General features: G+C 45.5%; 1 protein-coding gene across 1 annotated transcript in view; it reads left to right on the top strand.

Annotated features, from left to right (window-relative positions):
• The window catches only part of SVOP (SV2 related protein), a 113,328-nt gene that overhangs the window by 48,274 nt on the left and 40,762 nt on the right, over window positions 1-24,292 (top strand). Inside the window, exons 5-6 of the mRNA NM_018711.5 lie at window positions 319-390; window positions 11,748-11,872. Coding sequence (NP_061181.1) covers window positions 319-390; window positions 11,748-11,872 — 197 coding nt within the window. The remainder of the gene's footprint in view (window positions 1-318; window positions 391-11,747; window positions 11,873-24,292) is intronic.

The raw sequence follows: 24,292 nt of genomic DNA, 5'->3' as shown, positions 1-24,292 counted from the left end.
GCTAGTTCTGGAGCCAGAATGCCTGATACCAGCGCAGGCTGCGCCACTTAACGCCTCTGTGACGCTGGTCCTGCAATTGCCTCTCTCTCTGAGTCTCAGTTCCCTCATCTGTAAAATGGGAATAATAATAGCACCCTCCCCATGGGATTGTTGGGAAGCTTGCGGGAAGCACTTAGTGTTTGCCCCTTGGCAGGCTCTCAGTGAATGTTAGATCATTGCTGTTACCTAGAGGGTGACGTCACCACTTCCGTTTGTTGTTCCCTTTCTGTGCAATGATCCACATCCTCTGTCTAATGACAACTGTCTTTCCCCCCACAGGTGGTCTTTGTAGGCATGATGTCCAGCTCCACGCTCTGGGGAAATATCTCAGACCAGTACGGCAGGAAAACAGTAAGGCAAACTTACTCTTCTAAACGCATGTCCTCTGGGTTGTCTTGGTGATGGTCTGGACAAGTAGCAAACCCGTTCTGCATTAGCAGTTGGGAGGCCTAATAAGGATGATGTTGAAGTACAGTGAGAAGACATTGCTGTAAGGCTGCTGTGGACTCTCTTCAAAGCACAGATTCCTAGTGGGGCCCACGCATATACATTTCAGAATCTAGACAATCAATGCCTATTCATATCCCCTGGACCAGAACCATTTCCTCATTACCCCTGGCTGGGGCAGTCAAGGGATACTAGATAAAGCCATTGATTCTCTTGCCCTAAAGAGAGCCATTTCTCAAATTTTGGGTTTTTTGTTTTTCTTTTTGTTTGAGACAGGGTCTTCCTGGAGTGCAGTGGCACAGTCTCAGCTCACAGTAGCCTCAACCTCCCAGGCTCAAGCAATCCTCCCACCTTAGCCCTCCAAGCAGCTGGGACTACAAGCATGCGCCAATACACCCAGCTCATTTTTGTATTTTTTGTAGAAATGGGATTTCACCATATTGCCCAGGCTGGTCTCAAATTCCTGGCCTCAAGCGATCCTCCTGCCTTGGCCTTCCCACAGCGCTGGGATTACAGACATGAGCCACTGCACCCAGAAAGCCATTTCTCAATCCCAGCAGGACTGAGCTCCAGTGTCTGCTGTGGGAGCCTGTTCATGAAGACACCCTGAATTACCTTCCTTCCCTTCCCTGTCTCACTTCTCCACTCCCCTACTGGAATCACTGCTCAAATAAACTATCTTTACTAGGATCCTTATCTTAGAGCCAGCTTTTGGGAGAGCTCAGACATGATATGAAATGGATTTGCAAACAAGAAGGAAGAGGGAACTTACAGCTCAGGGCCTTGAAATCAGGTGGACCCAGGTTCAGTGTCAATTTTGCCACTACTGGCTGTGTGATCTTGGGCAAGCAAACTGACATTTTTTTTTTTTTTTTTTTTTGAGACGGAGTCTTGCTCTGTCGCCCAGGCTGGAGTGCAATCGCACGATCTTGGCTCACTGCAACCTCGGCCTCCTGGGTTCAAGTGATTCTCCTGCCTCAGCCACCCAAGTAGCTGGGATTACAGGCACCTGCCACCAAGCCTGGCTAATTTTTGTATTTTTAGTACAGACAGGGTTTCACCATGTTGGCCAGGCTGGTCTCAAACTCCTGACCTCAAGTGATCCACCGGCCATGGCCTCCCAAAGTGCTGAGATTACAGGCATGAGCCACTGTGCTCAGCCAAATTGACCTCTTTGATTATCAATTTCCTAATACGTATAAAGAAGAAAATAACAGAACCTGTATTGGAGGGTTAATAGAGATGAATTAGGGTTAATTGAGGTGTAAATCACTGTTTCTTTTGTTTTTTTGAGACAAGGTCTTGCTCTGTTGCCCAGGCTGGAGTGCAAAGGTGCAATCATAGCTAACTGCAGCCTTGACCTTCTGGGCTCAAGCAATCCTCCCACCTGAGCCTCCCAAGTAGCTGGGACAAGACTTGTGCCACCATGCCCAGCTAATTGTTTTTTTATTTTTTGTAGACAGACAGGGTCTCACTATGTTGCCCAGGCTGGTCTCAAACTCCTGGCCTCAAGCAGTCCTCCCACCTCAGCCTCCCAAAGTGCTGGGATTACAGATGTGAGCCACTGTGTGAATCTCTTTGTACAATGCCAGGCACATGCTAGGCACAGGACACATGTAAACTGAAATTCCGAGTGTAGCATTTCTGACAAGACCCCATGCAATGTCAATGCTTGGGACCATACTTTGAAAACGATTGGCTTAGACTAAGAATAACCTACTACTGGAGCTGGGAATGGGCTACCTCAACAAACCTAGAATTCTGTTAGGAAGGAAGAAGTGAGATCTGGATGCTGGGTAGGTAACAGGCAATCTCCACTACAACTAGCAAATCATGGGCTGAAAATAAAATAGCGCGTTGTATAGCAGGCATGATGCAAAGTATGGTTCATGCGTTAGCTCATCCAATCCCCTTAATAACCATTGAAGTAGGTGCTATTATCACTCTAACTTGATAGAAGAGGAAACTGAGGCACGGAGAGTGGGCAACTTACCCAGGACCACATGGTTTGCTCATCACAGAATCAGGTCTTGCTCATTCTAAGTCTAGAGCTCTGTCTTCACTATGATGCCTGTGGCTTGAATCAGTAGGTGCTCCAGAAGCAGGTGATGGCTCAATGAATGAATGAACGTTCCAGCAATGCCATAGAGGATGCAGACTCCAGCTGCATCCCCTCTCACTGCTATTGCGCAGGAAACTTGGGCCAGCAGACACCTGGAAGATGGTGATCAATATAACTGCCAAGAAATGGTGATCAATATAATTGCCAAGAATGTAACTCCAGAGGCAGCAGGCTGGAAACTAAATGCAGCCATGATGGGCCTCGGGGTCTTGGCCGGTGATGGGGCTGGAGATGGCAGTTGGAAAGGCCTCTCTGGGGCTCCCAAAGGAAGTAAAAGCTGGTTATTACCCCCCTGTTAACCCAAGAAGGAATTACTCTGGTCTTCAGTGGCAGCTCCTTAGATTCTGCCCCCATCTGCTCTCCCACCCACTTCCTGTTTCTGGAGCATATGAGTGATGGCATGGTGATTTTCTGTTTGGAAGAATGAACAAGAGTTTAAGGACAGGAGAGAGGAAGGAAGGAAGGAAGGAAAAAAAAGGAGGAGGGAAGTAAAGAAGAAGGGAGGGAGGGAGAAGGGACAGAGGGAGGGAAGGAAGAAAAAAAGGAAGGAACTAAAGAGGGCATGAACGCGGTGGCTCATGCCTGTAATCCCAGCACTTTGGGAGGCCGAGGTGGGAGGATGACCTGAGGTCAGAAGTTCGAGACCAGCCTGACCAACATGGTGAAACCCCATCTCTACTGAAAATACAAAATTAGCCAGGCATGGTGGCGCATGCCTGTAAGCTACTCAGGAGCCGAGATCGTGCCATTGCACTCCAGCCTGGGCAACAAGAGTGAAAATTTGTCTCAGAAAAAAAAAAAAGAAAGAAAAGGAAAGGGGGAAAGAAGAAAGGAGAAAGAGAGCGAGGTAGGAAGGGAGGGGGGAGGAAGAAAGGAAGGAGGTAGGGAGAGAGAGTGAGGAAGGGGGAGAAGGAAGAAAAAAGGAAGAAAGGAGGGAGGGAAGGAGGAGGGAAGGAAGGAGAGAAGAAAAAACACCTCTGAAAATAAAACAGAGTCATTTTTGTTTTGATGGAGCTGAGCAGCCGTTAAAAGAACTGTAAAGCTGTGGCTGTCTGAGGCTGAATCCAATGTTAATCTTTAAGCCTTTAAAATAATCAAAGGAGGCCAGGAGTGGTGGCTCATGCCTGTAATCCCAGCACTTTGGGAGGACAGATCACCTGAGCTCAGGAGTTAGAGACCAGCCTAGGCAACATGGCGAAACCCCATCTCTACAAAAACTACAAAACTTAGCCAGGCCCAGTGGCATGCACCTGTAGTGCCAGGTACTCAGGAGGCTGAGGCAGGAGAATTGCTTGAACCCAGGATGGGGAGGCTGCAGTGAGCCGAGATCATGCCACTACACTCCAGCCTGGGCAACAGAGCGAGACTCTGTCTGGAAAAAAAAATTCATTTATTTGTTCCTGAGACAAACATGCACAAACACACACACACACACACACACAAAAGACAAACATGCACACACACACACACACACACTTCAGGAATCCATAATGAGGAAATTTGCTGAACCCCAAATTCTGCTATCCAATTGCTGAATCATAAGGCAGTGAGGAATATAACAGAAAATGAGTAAAAATACCTTAACTTTGGGCTTGAATCTGACACTGCATGGCTAAAGCAAGCCACTCCCCATCTAGGGCTGAAATTTCCTTATTTATATCAGAGGAGGCTGAATTAGAAAACACAGATATTCATAGCTACCATTCATTGAATCCCCAAAATGAAAGGGCAGGTGGGTTTTGTCTCTGTGTCTGTTCTAATCATTTATTAGAGGATGCCAGAAACATGGATTTGAGGAGTCAGAAGGCTCAGTGGGATAGTGCTGTGATTGACTAGTGTTGTCTGCCACAGGCACAAGACTGAAGAGTGTGGAGGGAATTTAGTAAACTCCGTGAGGAAAGGGGCTGCATTTGTTTTGTTCACTGAGTTGGCCCCAGAGCCTGACCTCCCTGGTTGAGAGTGCACACTCAATAAATACTTCTTGAGTGACTGAGCTGTGGTGGATGAGAACCAGACCTCCTTGTTTCCACTCTCTGCTACTTTCTTATCCTCTCTAGAGCAGCAACTGCCTTATCCTCTCCAGAGCAGCAACTGCCTGATGAGTGTTCTTTGTTGACCTGGAAAGTCCACAATGCACAATGGTCATTCATGTAGGATCCCAACTTCCCTTGGAAGAGTATATTTACTCTGCCACTAGGGGCAGTAATTCACTTGGCGTTCCCATATAGACATCTTCATGTTTGTGAAGGGCCTCAGAGGAGATTTTAAAGAGATTTACAGAGGGGTTTTCAGAAATGCCATTTACTGAATCTTGAAGGTTGTAACCATATTTTGGCACCTTCCAAAATAGTAGTTCTCAGTTCAGGGCTAGGGGCACTTGGCAATGTCTAGAGACATTTTTGATTGTCACACGTTGGGGGAGGGGTGTGCTACTGGCATCCAGTGCATAGGGGCCAAGGATTCTGCTTCATAGCCCACAGTGCATGGGACAGCCCCCACCACAAAGAATGACCCAGTCCAAGATGTTGGCGGTGCTGAGGTTGAGAAACCAGGCTCTAGAAAACATGTGCAAACAATATCGCCAAGTTGCAGTGATGTGGCATCCGCTCTTCATGTTCTTTCTTCATCTCCTGGGCCTGCTCAGCCCTCATTTCTTTCTTTCTTTCTTTTTTTCCTTTTTTTTTAATTGAGACAAAGTCGCGCTTTGTCACCCAGGCTGGAGTGCAGTGGTGAGATCTTGGCTCACTGCAAGCTCTGCCTCCCAGGTTCAAGCGATTCTCCTGCTTCAGCCTCCCAAGTAGCTGGGACTACAGGCACGTGCCACCAGGCCAGGCTAATTTTTATAATTTTAGTAGAGACGGGGTTTCACCGTGTTAGCCAGGATGGTCTCGATCTCCTGACCTCGTGATCTGCCCACATCGGCCTCCCAAAGTGCTGGGATTATAGGTGTGAGCCACCATGCCTGGCCTCAGCCCTCATTTCAATATTTACCTAAGAAGCTCATTTGGACAAGTGAAATAATGCAGTGTCATTGTGAAAAGCATGGGTTTTGAGGCCAGACTGCTTGGGTTCAAATCCCAGCTCCTCTAATTAAAGACAAGCTATTCAACTTCTCTGTGTCTCAGTTTTCTCATCTGTAGGTGGGATAATAATAGTCTCTCCCATGGTGCTGTTATGAGGAGTAAATGGCCCTTGTACATAAAACTCTTGGCACAGAGAAAATGACATAAATGTCTATTATTATACCACTGCCAAGCTTGTGGTGTCCGTAAATGGCAATGCCAGCATTGAAATACAGGCACACCTGGCTCCAGGGTCCACATCCTTAACCCTGACCTTGGCCGCTGGGAGACATAACTGAATTATCCCTCAGAATTTAGTTGATTAGTTGAACATTCATTCATCCCAAATAGATGAAGCCCAGGAAGGCTGCCCATATGGTGTCCCGCCAGTTCTTCCAAACAGCTTGATAAATTCCATACCCAACATGAAACCGGCCTGACCAGAGGGAAAGAGAAAGTGTCCCCAGATTGCAGAGCTTCCTCCTCCCCAGCATGGAATTCTGGCCCAACCTCAGGAAGGACAGATCAGACTCTAATTATAAAGCTTCCCCAAAATTCCCCCAGGAACACTGTGCAAGCCAGGCAGCTGGCAAGCCTTGGCAACCACCGAGAACCTCCTTGATCTGCCCTGGCCCAGCTATAAGATTCCTGCCGGGGCGTTCACCGCATGATATTGTGGGGCATTCACATACGGGGTTAGGACTCAGTGAGCCACTTTGGTTCCTACAGAAGTTTCTACCACCTGGGAGTTTGTGGCAGCCATGGAAACGTGAAGGAAACTGTAGGTGTGTGGTCTTGAAGACATGGAGATAAACGCATCCAGGTTTATATCACAGTGCACCCCTGTTGACTGAGGTGAGCTTGGGCAAGATGCTTCACCTCTCTGAGCTTCAGTTTCCCCATCTGCAAAATAGACTCCATAATAGGCACTTTAATGGGGGGATTAAATAAGAAAATGTAGCCAGGCATGATGGCATGTGACTGTGGTCCAGGCTACTTGGGGGCTGAAGTGAGAGGATCGCTTGAGCCCAGGAATTCAAGGATGCAGTGAGCTGTGACTGAGCCACTGCACTCCAGCCTGGGTGACAGAGCAAGATGTCATCTCTAAAGAAGGAAAGGAAAGGAAGGAAGGGAGGGAGGGAAGTGGGGGGAGGGAATGGAGGGAGGGAGGAAAGAAGGAAAGAAGGAAGGAAGGAAGGGAGAGAGGGAAAAAGTGTATAATACACTTAGAATATGGTATGGAGCGGTCACTATCTAGTTCAAAAGCTATTAGGTCTATCTTATCTTTAAGAAGGAAGTGAAGGTGCCTGGCAGGCGCTCGGACTCCCTCTGATGATCCTTGGGCCTCCTCGACCTGTAAATACTGTCCTTCGGTTGAACGTGTTAGAGAATACCACAGGCCACATTTGGCCCACGAGCACCAGGCTTTCTAGGCTACAAGTTGCAAACTGGTAACCCATAGGCCAAATATGGCCCCCGATGTGTTTTATTTATCCTGCACAATGTTTTATAGGATTTTGAATCAGTTGCCTCCATTTCAAAAATGACATCTTGCATAAAAATAAAGTTATGTGTTTTTTGGAAAATCAGGTAATCTGGAGGCCTGGAACCCACATTTTGTCATGGTATCTTTTGGCTAGAGTTGAACAGAGGCTGACACGACAGGGAAAGTTCCCTGTAATTCCACCAGGCCCCCATCCTTGCTGTGTTACATGTGCATTGTGCATTTATGTTTTCTGTCAGAGGTCACAGGGAGCCATCAAAGGCTCTAGAGGAAGGGAGTGGCTCATTCAAGGTTGGAAGTTCTGGCTCCAACTTTGGCACCACTTACGGATCTTCAGCAAATTGCTCAACTACTTGGGCCCTTGCTATGCTAATTTGTAAAGTAGACATGAAAATAACAACCTTTGTTCACAGGGCTGCTGTGAGGACCCAGTGTAATGTTGTGACAGTGGTTAATGAAATGCAAATGAAAGTTCCATGAAGTCAGAGACTCTGGCTGTCATGTTCCTTACGGTAGCCCAGGGCCTAGCAAACAGCAGGTGTTCAATATATGCATATTTTATGCATGAATGGATGAATAATATATATCAGTATCTTTAATGCTGGCTACACAGCATGTGTTCAACATGTGTTTATTGAATAAATGAATGAATGGGTGAAGAAAATATGTCAGTGTCTGGTATACAGCAGGTGCTCAATACATGCTTATTGAATGAGCAAATTAATGAATGCATAATGTCTATGCATCTACCCTGGAGCCTTATATAAAGGGGATGCTCAATAAATGTAAAAAGAAGGGAGAGAGGGAAGGAGGAAAGAAGGAAGGAAGGAGCTATCAATCTATAGAGGGCAGAACAGATATTAGACGGAATGACAGTCATAGTTAATGAAAAGCCCAAAGGCCCGTGAGACATGTCTGCGGAGTCCCAAACAAGCTATTGGGTGGGGCTTGCTGGCAGTACCCCCTGCTTTTGTAATATCCATGACAGGCCTTACACAGGGTTGCTGAGCCCTCATTTTGGGGCAGCTGGAAAGCCCTGGCATCAACAGACAAATGCAGAGCCAGCTGCAACCTGTTGTGATCAAACAGGACAGATAATACGGCTCCCAGCAGACCTTGAAGGAGGGTTAACTCCCATGCACTTGTCTCGGTGCCTTCTTTTCTCCCGCTGATGCCAATTAAGTCTTCTGTTTGATTCAAGACTCCTTGGATTCCAAGGAAGAAAGTCCCTATTAAGTTAGCTTAAGCCAAAAGAAAGGGATTAAATGTCTGTATGGCCAGTACCGATGTTACAGTCATGGATTTAGGAGTGCAAAAATGTTGCTTTATTATTATCATCACTTCCTAGACTTTAGTAAATCCTGTGCCACCTATTATCTTATGTACTTAATATCTTTCTTCTTTCTTTCTTTTTTTTGATTTAATTTTTGTAGACCAAGGGTCTCGCTATGTTGCCCAGATTGGTCTCAAACTCCCAGCCTCAAGTGATCCTTTTGCCTCGAGCTCTCAAAGTGCTGGGATTACAGGCATGAGCCACCTTGCCCGGACCTGAATAACTTTCTTTATATCAAATTGCTTTTTAAAAATCGATCACTTGTAACATGGGGCTAATAAAAAAATTGTAATATATTTTTGGAAAGTGAAACTATACAGTCTTAATTGGAAGATCAATAACAATTGCCTTAAGTAGGAAGTGACTGCAAAAATAAATGCAACACAAACAAAGCAATGTTATTAAATTCTTAGTGGTTGTGGTTGTCCCAGTGCCTTCTGTGTTAAATAGAGAGGAGAGTAGCTATTTTTTAAAATGTGTTGGCTGGGTGTGGTGGCTCATGCCTGTAATCCTAGCACTTTAGGAGGCTGAGGTGGGTGGATTGTTTGAGTCCAGGAGTTCGAGACCAGCCTGGGCAACATGGCGAAACCCTGGTCAACATGGCAAAACACTTACTCTACCAAAAGTACAAAAATTAGCTGGCCATGGTGGTGCAAACCTGTAATACCAGCTACTCAGAGGCTGAGGCAGGAGAATCGCTTGAACCCAGGAGGCGGAGGTTGCAGTGAGCTGAGATCGTGCCACTGCACTCCAGCCTGGGTGACTGAGCGAGACTCTATTTCAAAAAAAAAATAAATAAATACAAATAGATAAATAGGTGTTAAAGACAGACTGGCACCTCACGGACTCTTTGACATAATCATAAAAATGAAGACTGAAATGAAAAAAATAACTTTCTTGTGAGGTGATGCAAAATTATTTAAAATATTCTCTCTGCCACATAAAGTCATTTTCTAAAAGACTCGAAATCATTTGGTAGGCTTCCAAATTTCCTCACTCATCTCCTTTAATTCAGTTTAATATCTTAAAGCAAAAAATCAGTATGTTTCATACTTGCCCCCTGAAGTGTTCCCTGGGGGACAGGAAGGTGAACTCACCCTTGGAGCTCTGGGAAGGGTATTGCAGAAAGAGGCCTGACCAGACCTCACAGAGCAGGTTGAAAATGCACGTGAAATTTGCATTTTACCCTCTCATATTTGGCATTGATTGTGATATAAAAATAGTATTTGTTTACTCTTAATTTTTTTTCCAATCTCTAAGGGTAATTAACACTCCAGGAATATGTGCCATGTTTGTCTTTTTTGTTTTGTTTTGTTTTGTTTTGAGATAGAGTCTCACTCTGTCCCTCAGGCTGGAGTGCAGTGGCAAGTTCTTGGCTCACTGCAACCTCCACCTCCCAGGTTCAAGCAATTCTCCTGCCTCAGACTCCCAAGTAGCTGGGACTACAGGCACCCGCCACTCCACCTGGCTAATTTTTGCATTTTCAGTAGAGACAGGGCTTCACCATGTTGGCCAGGCTAGTCTTGAGCTCCTGGCCTCAAGTGATCCCCGGCCTCAGCCTCCCAAAATGCTGGGATTACAGATGTGAGCCACCGTGCTCGGCCCCATGTTTGTCTTGAAGCATTGTGTCCCTCTGTGGTTCTTGACCCTATTGAACACATGCCCTCTTTACTTTAAAAATGTGGAAAATGTGCCTCTGTAATCCCAGCTACTCAGGAGACTGAGGTAGGAGGATCCCTTGAACTCAGGAGTTCAAGATCAGCGTGGGCAACATAGCAACACTCCATTTCTTTAAAAAAGTGAACACTGAATAACGCCTTCTTAACTATCCAGAAAAAATTTCCAAAGATAAAATAACCTAGTCATTCACGTACTTTAAAAAAGAAATCAGCCAGGCGTGTTGGCTCACACCTGTAATCTCAGCACTTTGGGAGGCTGAGGTGGGTGGATCACTTGATCCCAGGAGTTTGAGAATAGCCTGGGCAACATGGTGAAACCCCATGTCTATAAAATATACAAAAATTAGCCAGGCATGGTGGCACACATCTGTGCTTCCAGTTACATGGGAGACTGAGGTGGGATGATCACTTGAGCCCGGGAGGTTGAGGCTGCAGTGAGCCGAGATTGCACCACTGCACTCTAGCCCGGGCAACAGAATGAGACCCTGTCTCAAAATAAATAAATAAGAAAGAAATAAGTTACTTGTTTCATTTGCAAATTAGGAGGATGTAAGAGTATGTCATTCATTAAAATAACTTCAAAATGAGTTTGCCCGCACAGGAAACTGCCTTTATATTATGTTTTATTCTTCATAGTAAAAATATCACTCAGTACAGTTATACTTTGATATAGTTTTATCCTGGTACAATAGATGTTAGAATAATGATGCCAAAATAAACTTGTTAATGAGAAAAAGAAAGAAATCAGTTCTAAAGTGCTAACTAGGAGGGAGAAATTTAAAACGTCATTAATAAAATAAAATTTATTTTTAATATGCAAATGTTTACCTACAACTCTGTCTAGATGACAAGAGGAAGGGGTCAATATCTGCCCCTGATTGTAAATACGTTTGGACTTAACTGAATATTGTTGATGGTTTTTCTTTACATTTGACCTTTTAAAATAAGGTTTAGATCAGTGTATTCATAGATAAACCCTGAGTGAAAGCTGACACTGAAGCTTCCCATCAGTGACTCAAATGCTGCACACAGCGTTGTCATTGACAGCATGGTTTTCTGAAAAGAACAATTTTGTAAAGTTCCAGGTAAAACAAAGTAAATTTTCTTTTGACTTACCTGAAAGTTGCGTTCCTGAAAAATTAAGTGTATATTCACACTATGCCAAAAAAAAAAAAAAAAAAGTCTTGAATGTGTGAAACAGAGCAAAAAGTCTAGGTGCAGATCATCAGAAACAGAGTTTCAGCTGCATGATGGTCGGGCAGAACATTTGAGATGGTATGAGATGCAGGACAATCTATTTTGTCTCCTGTATTGTGGAATATCTGACATATCTGGCCCAGATTGGCATTCAATGCCAATCATTGGGACAACCAAGAATGCCCCATGATTTTCTCACCCAACCCCTGTGGGTTGGCACTCCCCATACAGAGGAACCCAGTACCCCCTTGGTTGTGTAGGCTCCCTTTAATGTGACCCCATTATCGGCGGCTCTCAGTGAGGTGCAAACGCTACCTGGAGGTGCTGAAAAGCCCTTGTGATTCCGTGTCTTCCTTCTCTTCAGGGGCTGAAGATCAGCGTGCTGTGGACTCTGTACTATGGCATCCTTAGTGCATTTGCGCCCGTGTATAGCTGGATCCTGGTGCTCCGGGGCCTGGTGGGCTTCGGGATCGGAGGAGTTCCCCAGTCGTAAGTAAATACCCAGTGCTGGCTATGCAGCCAGGCTGCCCATCCACGTGTCTGTTCATGGTCTGGATCAGGAGTTAGGGGCTGAGATGGGGCAGCAGGGGTGCAGAGATAGCTATACCAGGGCTTCCAGGATCAAGGAGCTATGGTGTAGCAAGAAAATAGCATCATTATCAGTATTGTTATGATCAACAACAGCAGCAAAACAACACAATGGCTGGAAGGTTGTAAAAGCGAAATGATAATGCATCTAGCATTGATTGACTGTTCCACTTGGACGCATTGCAGCAGCCCAAGAGGTGTGTGTTATTGTATTATTGCAATCTGCGTTTTACAGTTGGGGAAACTGAGCCTCAGAGAGTGAAATCATCTGTCTGAATCACATGGTGGGTAACTACAATATCCATGCTTTTAGCTACCATGAATGCTGCTTCCCACGCTCTTCCTACCTAAACGCAAGGCAGAGTATGATGCTAACCACATGTCACTCAGGCAGCAATTTGCTGTTGCTGTTGTAGTTTAAGGTACTGAGAATATTCAGAGCTGTAGGAAGAAGCCACTGTCTCCTGGGGCATCGAGGAGGACTTCCTATTTGTGATGGGCCCTGAAGCAGAGATTGGCACACTATGGCATACGGGCAGAATTCGACCTGCTGACTGGTTTTGTAAATAAAGTTTTATTGGAACACACCGCACCCTCCATTTATGTATTATCTATGGTCGTTTTCATGCCACAGCAACAGAACTGAGTAGTTTCAGCAGATATATGGCCTGCAAAGCCTGAACTATTCACTATGTGGCCCATTATAGAAAATGCGTGTTGGACTCCACCCTAAAAAATGATAATAGCCAATATTTAGTGTTAACTATGTGGCAGGTGCTGTTCTAAACGGTTTACCCAGATGATCTCCTTTAATCTCTCATTTTCCCTAGAAGGTAAATTCTATTATTAACCCCATTTTACAGATAAAGAAACTGAGGCACAGAGAGGTAAAGTAACTTGCTCTAGGCAACACAGCCAGGAAGTGGTGGAGGAGCTGGAATAGGAACTGGACCTTCTAACCCCAGTGCCTGGGCTCTATACCCATTGCATTTTACTGCCTTGCTATTAAGAAGGCAAAGGATTTGGAAAGACCCAGAAGGAGACTTGGAGAAGATCTAGGACATTTTCTAGGAAGTGAACCACATGAAAAGAGGAAGCCGTAGCTGAGGCTGAGGAAGGCTAATTGTCTGGTTGGTCAGCTTGGAGGGATGAGATCTGTAAGAGAAAGCTGGCCAGGCGCGGTGGCTCATGCCTGTAATCTCAGCACTTTGGGAGGCCAAGACGGATAGATCACTTGAGCTCAGGAGTTTGAGACCAGCCTGACCAACATGGTGAAACCCCATCTCTACTAAAAATACAAAAATTTTCCGGGCTTGGTGGCGGGCACCTGTAGTCCCAGATACTTGGGAGGCTAAGGCAGGAGAATCGCTTGAACCTGGGAGGCAGAGGTTGCAGTGAGCCAAGATCGTACTGCTGCACTCCAGCCTGAATGACAGAGTGAGACTCTGACTCAAAAAAAAAAAAAAAAAAAAGAATTAAAAGCTGAGGTTGGACAGGTAGGCCAGGGCAAGCTTGTTAAAGGCCTAAAATGCCAGGCCAAAGGGATTCTATTGGTGATGAGGAGCCACTGAGAGTTCTTGAGCAGCGGAGGTACCTAGAAGTATGGATCTGGCTATGGCAGGTAGAACAGCTTGGAGGTAAGGAATCATTAGGAAAATTTTGCAAGAGGACCAGGGCGATCCCTTGTAGTGTATTCATTTATTCCACCAATATTTCTTGAGTACCTAGAAATGCTAGGTGCCAGGACGCAGCATTGAGCAAGAGCACCATGGTCCCTGTTCTAGGATGGGATCCTGGGGAATAGACTTTGAGATGGAGATTACTGTGCAGGTGGTTACTAGGATTAACACCTGTAAGAAAGTGAGAAAATTAGGACCAGCGAAGGGGGAAGCTGAGTTGCCATACCATTGCCACAGAGGCCTCTGGTCAGCTTACAGGGTTTCAGAAGCAGAGGTGGCCCTTCAGAGGTGTTTCAGATTGGGGCGGGGGGGCTAGGCCTTTTTACCCTCACACCAACCAGGCATCGGATGTGGGCTGCCCTCAAGGATGGAGCATGATCTTAGGCAAGGCAGCTACTTTTGGCCAAGGCAACTTCTGCAAGGGACTCAGCTCCTGGCAGGCAATGCTCCTGCTCATTTTGGAGGGAATAAAAGCCTCAGTCCTGAAGGGCAGACCAAGTAGCACATCACAGCATCCTCCACAGTCCAGGGTGGACCCACTTGCTTCAAATATAGTCATGCGTCACTTAATGATGGGGATGTGTTCCAAAAATGCATCAATAGGTGATTTTGTCACCGTGCAAACATCATAAACTGTCCTCACACAAAGCTAGATGGGACAACCTCCTACACAGCTAGGCTATACGGTATAGCCTATTGCTCCAGGGCTACACACCCGTACAGCATGTAGCTGTGCTAAATACTGCAGACAATTCGAACACAATGGTATTTGCATCTCTAAACACATTTAGACATAGAAAACCTACAGTAGAAACACAGTATTAAATTAAAAAAAAAAAAAGGCCAGGCATGGTACCTTACACCTGTAATCTCAGCACTTTGGGAGGCTGAGGCAGGAGGATCCCTTGAGCCCAGGAGTCTGAGATCAGCCTGGGCAACATAGCTAGACCCCCTCGCTATTAAAGAATAATGAAAATAGGCCAACTCTGGGTGCACTGCCTATGAGTTAGCCCTGCTCTGCACGAAGCAGTACTCTTCAATAAAAGATTGCAAAATAAATAAGTTAATTAATTACCACAGTATTATAATCTTATGGGACCACCATCATATATGTGGTCTGTTGTTGACTCAAATGTGTTATGCAGCCCATAATTGTAATCAGCTCACCCCGCCTAAGAACAGTTCCTCCAGGATTCTGGATAATCTCTTTTCTGCAAAAGTCTCACGGCTGCAATGGATGCCAATGGAGCTCACAGTTGAGTTCCTTGCAGAAGTTGCCTTGGCCAAAAGGCCAAATGTCTCCCACCTCTGCTTCCCATTCTAAATTCCTCTCAGCTTCAGCGAGCACTCTCGCTGATCTAGACGGTTTACCTGGGTGGGTGACTGAGATCTCATGCCTAAGGGATTCGAGTCCCTGGTCGCCATGCCTCTTTTAGGCCATAGCTGCTGCGCTTGTCCATTTAACACCAAAATTGAGCAGGAGATTACCAAGAGATGTCTGGTATATCACCTGGGTGGCCCTATGATAGATGGGGCTTATTAAGTCTTAATGGTGGTTAGGATCAATTTCTCTGACATGGGACCCAAGGAGCCCACGGTGACTCTTTTTCTTGCCTGTTCATTTCTTGACACAAAGGAGCCCAAAGTTACTGGGTAGCAGCTGTTGCTTAAAGTCTAATGGGTCCGGGCACGGTGGCTCACGTCTGTAATCCCAGCACTTTGGGAGGCCAAGGCAGGTGGATCATGTGAGGACAGGAGTTCGAGACCATCCTGGCCGACACAGTGAAATCCCGTCTCTACTAAAATTACAAAAATTAGCTGGGTGTGGTGACACACACCTGTAATCCCAGCTACTTGGGAGGCTGAGGCAGGAGAATCCCTTGAACCCAGGAGGCGGAGTTTGCAGTGAGCTGAGAGCGCGCCACTGCTATCCAGCCTCGGCGACAGAGCAAGACTCCATCTCAAAAAAGACATTCTACTGAGACTCTTGCTGTGTCTCCTGTGGAAGCTTTCCCTCCCTGGGAGCCAGGACCTCTAGACCCACCGAGCCCAGAAGTTGCAGGATGTGAAGTACAAATCCCCTGATCTGGGTCACTGAGACTGATGACAGTGAAGCCTACTCTTACTTCAACCCCTTAATTTCCAGACCCATGAATCTTTTCTCCTGGGAATGAAGCATCATAATGGCAATAGACTTAAGTGGGTATTGTGTCCTGGAGGACAGTGCCCCATGGTCACAGGGCATCGTCTCCAAGCTGACACCTTAGTGACACCTTCAGAGTCCTGTTCCATTGCTCTCTTAGGCCAGCAGCTTCAGGATAGCACAATATATGATAGGACCAGCGGATTCCAGGCCATACATCCGCTTCTACATCTCCTTCACTCTATATGGGCTCCTTGGGTCCCATGCAATGTTATGATGGATCCTTTGTCAGTGGGTCAGACATTGTGTGAGCCCTCAGGTGATGGTGGTGACTGAGACCTTGTGGGCAGGAAAGATAAACCAATACTCAGAATAGGTGCCGATTCGGTCAAGATGAATTGCTGCTCCTTCAAAACTGGAAGAGTCCAATGTATGTACCTAAGTTGCTACCAAGTGACATGGAGTGGTTCCATCCTGGGGGCTCCATGTTGGTCTCTGTTGCGGGCAGGCTGGCTCTTTGGCAGCACAAGCAGCAAGATCAGCATTGGAGGGTGGGGATCTGTTCAGTCCTGCTAGAGCGCCCACCCCCTCAGGGGTAATAGGTCAGGGATTGATTTCTTATGCCTGCTGAGCATCATGATTGGGGAAGACTGGAAGAGACAGCCTAGAAGGGTAATGCTAATTCTTTTTTTTTTTTTTTGAGACGGAATCTCGCTCTGTCGCCCAGGCTGGAGTGCAGTGGCGCAATCTCGGCTCACTACAAGCTCCGCCTCCAGGGTTCACACCATTCTCCTGCCTCAGCCTCCCGAGTAGCTGGGACTACAGGCGCCTGACACCACGCCCAGCTAATTTTTTTTGTATTTTTAGTAGAGACGGGGTTTCACCATGTTGGCCAGGATGGTCTCGATCTCCTGACCTCGTGATCCACCCACCTCAGCCTCCCAAAGTGCTGGGATTACAGGCGTGAGCCACTGCGCCCAGCCAGCATAATGCTAATTCTAAAATAGATCATGGGCTCTGAAACCAGACGGCTTGGGTTTGAATCCTGGCTGCTCTGTCACATAATAGCTGTATGACCTCAGGCAAGTCACTGAACCTTCCTGCATCTGTTTTCTCATCTCTAAAATGGAACAACAACATCCCCACCTCATGGGGTCCCTTAAAATAGTCATTAAATGACAACATTCTGTAAAATGCCCAGGACAGTGCCTGGCAGAGCACTCAAGATTTATTAACAAGCATTTGATCTGCTGAAGGCTTTGGCAAGAAGCTCAAGCGTCATTGTGATGTATGATGGATGACGGATGAATGACTCAAGGTATCACTGTAGATAGAACAGGGACAGGGGAGATATGACCACATGGATTTGACACATGAGCAAACTCCCAGCCTCCTCCTGCCACTTGGGAGGCTGGAAGGATGGTGAGTGGCTCTCAGCTCTCCTCAGTCCTTCCCTCCTTGATTCATGATTAATTCCTCCAGGGCTCTGTAGAGTAGGCATTTGACATACACTTCTGGATCTGGGATGAGCTTACAAACCACTGGAGCTTGAAGGAAAGGCTATTAATGGAGCCGCAGCCATAAATCTGGGCTGGCAGGGACTTGTGGACAATGTGCTCCACTTCTGGCCCAGCTCCAGGAATTCCTGCAGACACAACTACTGCCCTATTCATGAATATGATGAGTTCATTGAGGACGATACCGTTTTCCCCTCGTGGCTGGAAGGAATGTACTCACAGAAGAGCAAATCAAATTCCCTTACCAGGGATGCTCAGAGAGATGCCTGTAGAAATAGACTTCAAACAGTCACTGGATTTTCTTCTCATATAAGGAAAGATAAAGGATTTAAATATTCAGAATGTCCACAGAAATTCTTGTTCAAGATGGTAGAATGAGAAGTGACATTTTCTATTTCTTCTTCTTCCACATTTCCTGGAAATGACATAGAAGTAGTAAGAAATAGAATAAATCTTTTCTTTTTGTGAGAGACAGGGTCTCGCTCTGTTACCCAGGCTGGAGTACAGTGGCAAAATCATGGCTCACTGCAGCCTCGAACTCCCAGGCTCAAGTGATCCTTCTGCCTCAGCCTTCCAGGCACACACCACCATGCTCAGCTAATTTTTTCTATTTTTTGGTAGAGATCGGGGTCTAACTGTATTGCCTGGGCTGGTCTTGAATACCTGGCCTCAAGCGATCTGCCTACCTTGGCCTTCCAAAGTGCTGGGATTACAGGCATGCATCATGGCGCCCAGCTAAGAAATAGAATAAATACTTAAGAGTACTGGAGAGCAAGAAAATGGTGCCATCAGTGGATCAGAATTTTGAGAAGCCTCCGGAAGCCTATAAGCAGATGCGATTGCAAGGGTGGAGTAGCTGGAACAGAGAAAATCACACCCCAAAACAGCAAAGGGGCGGGACTACAAAGAGGACGAGAGATTCTTCCCATGGGGTTCTGGGATTATGGCACAGGACACCAGGGGAATAAAATAAAGGACATAGAGGAGCTAGGAGGGCCTTTCCCCCTTATCTCATGCTTATCTTAAGGGTCCCCAGCTTGCCTGCCTGCTCCCTACTTCTTCCCCATTTAGTTATTCATGTATTGAACACTACTGTAGCCCTTCCATGTGTTTATTGAGCTATCATTACATTCCAGACACTGAGCCTTGTGCTTTACGTGTATTACCACTTTAACGCTCATCTTAGGATGTAGATATTATGATCATCTCCATTTTACAGGTACAAAAGCTGGAGCTTTGTAGAAACTAAGTAGCATGCCCAAGGTCACATAGCTAGTAAATGGCAGAGCTGATGTCTAAACATCACTTGACCCTCCAAACCTATTATCTGAACTACTCCACTAAATAGCTTTTTTTTTTTTTTTTTTTTTTGAGACAGATTCTTACTCTGTCACCCAGGCTGGAGTGCAGTGGTGTGATATCTCGGCTCACTGCAACCTCCACCTCCTGGGTTCAAGCGATCCTCCCACCTCAGCTTCCCGAGTAGCTGGGATTATGGGAGCAAGCCACCACACCCGGCTAATTTTTGTATTTTTAATAGAGACGGGGTTTCACCATGTTGACCAGGCTGGTCTCGAACTCCTGACCTCAAGCGATTCGCCTGCCTCAGCCTCCCAAAGTGCTGGGATTACAGGCATCAGCCACCACGCCCAGCCTAAATATCTGTTTTATCTGTGAGGAGGGCAAATAAAAACTAGAAACAAAATTGCAGAAGAAATATTTAGCCACCCAAGAGAGCCACTGGCTTCCCACCACTGTAACTCTATCCACTTACATAAAAATAATGTCTTAAATTATACAATGTTCCTATCTAGTTATAAAAATGGCTCCCTTAAGTTCATTATTTAGAAACATTTAGTTGGAGATATTTTGATGTGATTAAATGCAATTAAAAGTTTCCATTAATTTACAATAGCTTTATCCTATTGCAGCAACTCATAAAACCAGATGAAAAAGATTTTGCTGTATAATTCTTAAAAGCTCAACAACCAGAAGTCCTTGTAATGTACTCTGAATTTTAAGTATAAATGTCAATTAGGGCCGGGCGTGGTGATCACGCCTGTAATCCAAGCACTTTGGGAGGCTGAGGCGGGCAGATCACCCGAGGTCGGGAGTTTGAGACCAGCCTGACCAACATGGAGAAACCCTGCCTCTACTATAAATACAAAATTAGTTGGGCGTGGTGGCACATGCCTGTAATCCCAGCTACTTGGGAGGCTGAGGCAGGAGAATCGCTTGAACCCAGGAGGTGGAGGTTGCAGTGAGCCGAGTTCATGCCATTGCACTCCAGCCTGGCCAACAAGAGTGAAACTCTGTCTCAAAAAAAAAAAAGAAAAAAAAAAAAAAAAGTCAATTAGATCATTAAGGAGCCCATTCCTCTACGCTGATCTGTGCTTTTCTACAACCCTCCTTCTCTCCTCCCTTCCTCATTCTTTTCTTTCTTTCCCCAAAGTAGATATAATAATGGAGCTTACCAAGTGCTGGGCACTTTGCTAAATGTTCTGCTCAGACTAACTTACTTGGTCCATTGAACAACTGTTTTATCCCCGTATGACAGATGTGAAAACTGAGGCTTAGAACTCACAAGGGACTTGCTGGAGGTCAGATAGTTATTATTATTATTTTTGAAACCGGATTTCGCTCTGTTGCCAAGGCTGGAGTACAGCAACACGATCATACCTCCCTGCAGCCTCAAACTTCCAGTCTCAAGGGATCCTCCCACCACAGCCTCTGGAGTAGCTAGGAGTACAGATGTGTGCCACCACGCCCAGCTAATTTTTAAAATTTTTTGTTGAGATGGGCTGCAGGGCACAGGGTGGGCGGTCTCACTGTGTTACCCAGGCTGTTCTTGAACTCAAGTGATCCTCCCATCTTGGCCTCCCAAAGTGTTGGGATTACAGGTGTGAGCCACCGTGCCTGGCCAGATAGTTATTAAGTGTAGTGTAGGGGGCCTGGGCACAGTTGCTTATGCCTGTAATTCCAGCACTTTGGGAGGCTGAGGCAGGTGGATCACTTGAGGCCAGGAGTTTGAGACCAGCCTGTACAACATGGCAAAACCCCATCTCTACTAAAAAATATAAAAATTAGCCAGGCGTGGTGGTGCACACCTGTAATCCTAGCTACTTGGGAGGCTGAGGCAGGAGAATCACTTGAACCTGGGGGTTAGAGGTTGCGGTGAGCCAAGATCGTACCACTACACTCCAGCCTGGGGAACAGAGTGAGACTCTGACTCAAAAAAAAAAAAAAAAAAAAAAGAGAAAAGAAAAAAAAGTGGAATGTAGGGTTTGCTTCTACTTTGTAACAAACCACCTTTGCATTCATGGTTTAAAACAATGATTAATTCAACTCATGATTCTGCAGTGAGGCAGTTTGGTGGCTCCTCTAGACTCCATGGGACTTGCTCATGTGTCTTCAGTCCACTGAATCATGGGGCACCCAGGCACCTGGTCCCATGGCATCTGAACAGGGGTCAAAGGCAGCAAGAAGAAGCCACAAACCTTCTTGAGGCCTATACTTGGAACTAGCATAACATCATTTCTGCTACATTCTGGTGGTCAAAGCAAGTCACAAGGCCACACAGATCCCCAGGAGGGGAAAATGAACTCTTGATGGGATGTGCTGCAGTCATACTGCAAAGGTGCATAGATACCGGGACGGAAAATATTGGAGCAACTTTGGCAAACCAGTTGCAACTGGGTTCAAATCCAGGTGTGTCTGGTGCCAAAGCCCTTACCATGTTGAACAACAATTTCAAAGGGGTTTCAGGCATATATAGTCAGAAGGTCCTGTTAAATCATTTATATCCACGGCGTTTCTGGTACTGACTTGGAGAATGACTCTGGAGTGTAGGCTGGTGGTTCTTAACAGTTTTCTAGACCCTTTAAGGCAGATAAGAGGAATCACATGTAGAATCCCAGATTAATTACACTTTCTCTCTACGGAGGGACATCAAGAAGGAATAGACTTTAATTCAAGCAAGGGAATTAAATACAATTTTATTTTTGTCATTAGAGACAATATACTTTTGTTTTACCAAATTTAGGAAATGCAAATAAGCACCAACAAATAACAAATGATAATCACCTGTTATTGCCCCGTGTCTCTCCACGAAAACATCAATACAGGTTGGCACTGGGCCCATGTGTTTTTTACCTCCAGTAGAGGGCGCCATGCACCGCAGCCAAACACCATTTATGTAAGCGGCTGCGGTGGGAAACCTGGAGTAAGGTAACCCACGCCCTACTTGTGTTTTAGCTGCTCTTAAAGACAGTACCTCAGGTAGCTGCCCAGCTGTTCTACCTTGAAACCTGCCTCAGAATGATCTTCAAATTGGTGTCTACAATGAGCTTATACACAAAGCCTGTCCTCGTTCCTCCAAAGACCAGGCAAAAATGCCAGGCTGAGATCACAGGTTCTTGCTTTCCAAACACGTGATCCAAATGGCAAGCCTCTAATTGCCCAGTGCTGTAAATGTGATTATTTGCAGTGGGAATTTATTTATGCCAGAATCAGCTGATTCTTGGCATTGCTAATTTCATTGCTCATTCTTTTATTTTTCAGTCTGATTATAATAATTGCCATACTTTGGATAAAGATCAAGTAGCTTGCTTTCATAATGAACTGCTGTAAATAATGGCCAAATATGGGGCACAACAATTATAGGAAAAGATGTTTCTTGTGGCACAGGTGGCAAAAGCAAGAAATTGAACACAACCTAAGCATTCATAATTAGGGGGCAGTTAAATAAATGATGATACTACCGAGGTGAGGAAGACTATGCAGCTGCTAAGAATAATGCTCAGCTGGGCATGGTGGCTCATGCCTGCAATCCCAGCACTTCAGAAGGAAGCTGAAGCAGGTGGATCGCTTGACTCAGGCATTCAAGACCAGCCTGGGCAACATGGTGAAACCTTGTCTCTACAAAAAATACAAAAATTAGCCAAGTGTGGTGGTGCACACCTGTAGTCCCAGCTACTCAGGACGCTGAGGTGGGAGGATCATCTACCCCAGGAGGTCAAGGCTGCAGTAAGCCATTATCGTGCCACTGCACTCCAGCCTGGGTGACAGAATGAGACGCTGTCTCAAAAGAAAAAAAGAGTAATTCTTGGCCAGGCATGGTGGCTCATGCCTGTAGTTCCAGCACTTTGGGAGGCAAATGCAGGAGGATTGCTTGAGCCCAGGAGTGTGAGACCAGCCTGGACAAAATAGTGAGACTCCATGTCTACAAAAAAAAAAAAAAGAAAGAAAAAGAAAAATTAGCTGGGCATGTTGGTGCATGCCTGTCATCCCAGCTACTTGGGAGCCTGAGGCAGGAGAATCTTTGAGCCCAGGAGCTCAAGGCTGCAGTGAGCTATGATTGCACCATTACACTCCAGCCTGGGTGACAGAACAAAACCCTGTCTCAAAAATAAATAAAGCTGTAGATCTACCTCTATTAACATGAAAAGATTTCCATATTGTCTTACTGAAGCGGAACCTAACACAGAAATTTAAGAGCAAGAAGTTTCCTCTGGGAGACTCAGCCGCAGGTCCTCCAAATGGTCCCACTTCAAGGATGAGGGAACTGTCCAGTGAGGGCTACTCCCGGGAAGTTTAAATTCTTCGGCACTTCTGGCCTGCCACAAAGGCTGGCCAGCCAAGCTTTACTGACCAGAGAAAGTTCTCTGGAAAGGGTCACAGGTACTGGCAGTTAGAAGGTGGACTGGCATGCGTGGACATGCTAAGAATGGGGATGTTTGGGTGGAACGCTGACAGTGTGCTGTGTATGTTAAGAAAAAAAAAAAGAAGGAAAGAAGTAAGGGAGGGAGGAAAAGGTAGGAGAGAGGGAAGGAAAGAGAAGGGAAAAAGAAAGAAATAGCATGTTAGTTAAATTTATGTATTTATTTTTTTCATAGAAAAGAGGCTGAAAGATTGCAGGCCAGGCACAGTAGCTCATGCCTGTAATCCCAGCACTTTGGGAGGCTGAGGTGGGTGGATCACTTGAGGTCAGGAGTTCGAGACCAGCCTGGCCAACATGGCGAAACCCCATCTCTATTAAAAATACAAAAAAATTAGCTGGGCATTGTGGCATGCACCTGTAATCCCAGCTACTTGGGCTGAGGCAGGAGAATCACTTGAACCTGGGAGGCAGAGGTTGCAGTGAGCCTGAGATCGCACCACTGCACTCCAGCCTGGATGAGAGAGTGAGACTCTGTGTGGGCAAAAAAAAAGCTGAAAGATTGCAAAGCAAACTCTGATTAGTAGTTATGGCTTTGGGGGAGAGGAATGGGAGTTGGGGTCATAGGGAGAGGAAGAATCATCATATACTCTGCATGCTTATGTATTGCTAAATTATTTTACAATGAGATTGCATTCATATAATACTCTATAACTAAACAAAAAAACAGAATGAAAAGACTTCATGATATACGTTATAGGTTTGTTATAAAAACAAATCCTCGATCTCTAAGGACAGAAATAGCTTTGCCCTTAGAATATCCTGCTGCACATTTTTGCATGATTAGTAGTTTGACTTCGATTTGGTAAAGGAAAGGTAAACATGGTATTATTATTGATTTTTAAAAATAATATAAGCATACCATTCGGAAAACAGAATAAAATATAAAAGTCATCCATGATAATTGTTGCAATCTTTAGCAACCACTATAATCTTGGTTTCTATTATCAGGGTTTAGTTATGAAATTCCCCATGGTTTTTGTTGAGTGAGGTACTGAAAGGAATATAAATTGGAACAACTTTTTGGAGAACCACTTTGGTAGTATATATATATCTCAAATCATAAAAACAGGCATACCCTCTGACTCAAATTCTACTTAGGGGGATCTGTCCTAAGGAAACAATGTGAAGACAAAGACTTCAGCCTAAAGATGTTTAAGGAAGTGTTGTTTATAACTGTGAAACTGTCCCAACAGGGAAGTGATTCATGGGCTGCATGATATAGACAAACCTAGTTTAAAATGTTGGCTCTTCTGCTTACTAACT

This window comes from Homo sapiens, chromosome 12, assembly GCF_000001405.40.
Source record: "Homo sapiens chromosome 12, GRCh38.p14 Primary Assembly".
Taxonomy (NCBI): Eukaryota; Metazoa; Chordata; class Mammalia; order Primates; family Hominidae; genus Homo; species Homo sapiens.
The sequence above is the reverse complement of the archived record's forward strand: the minus strand, read 5'-3'. Positions and strand labels throughout refer to the sequence as shown.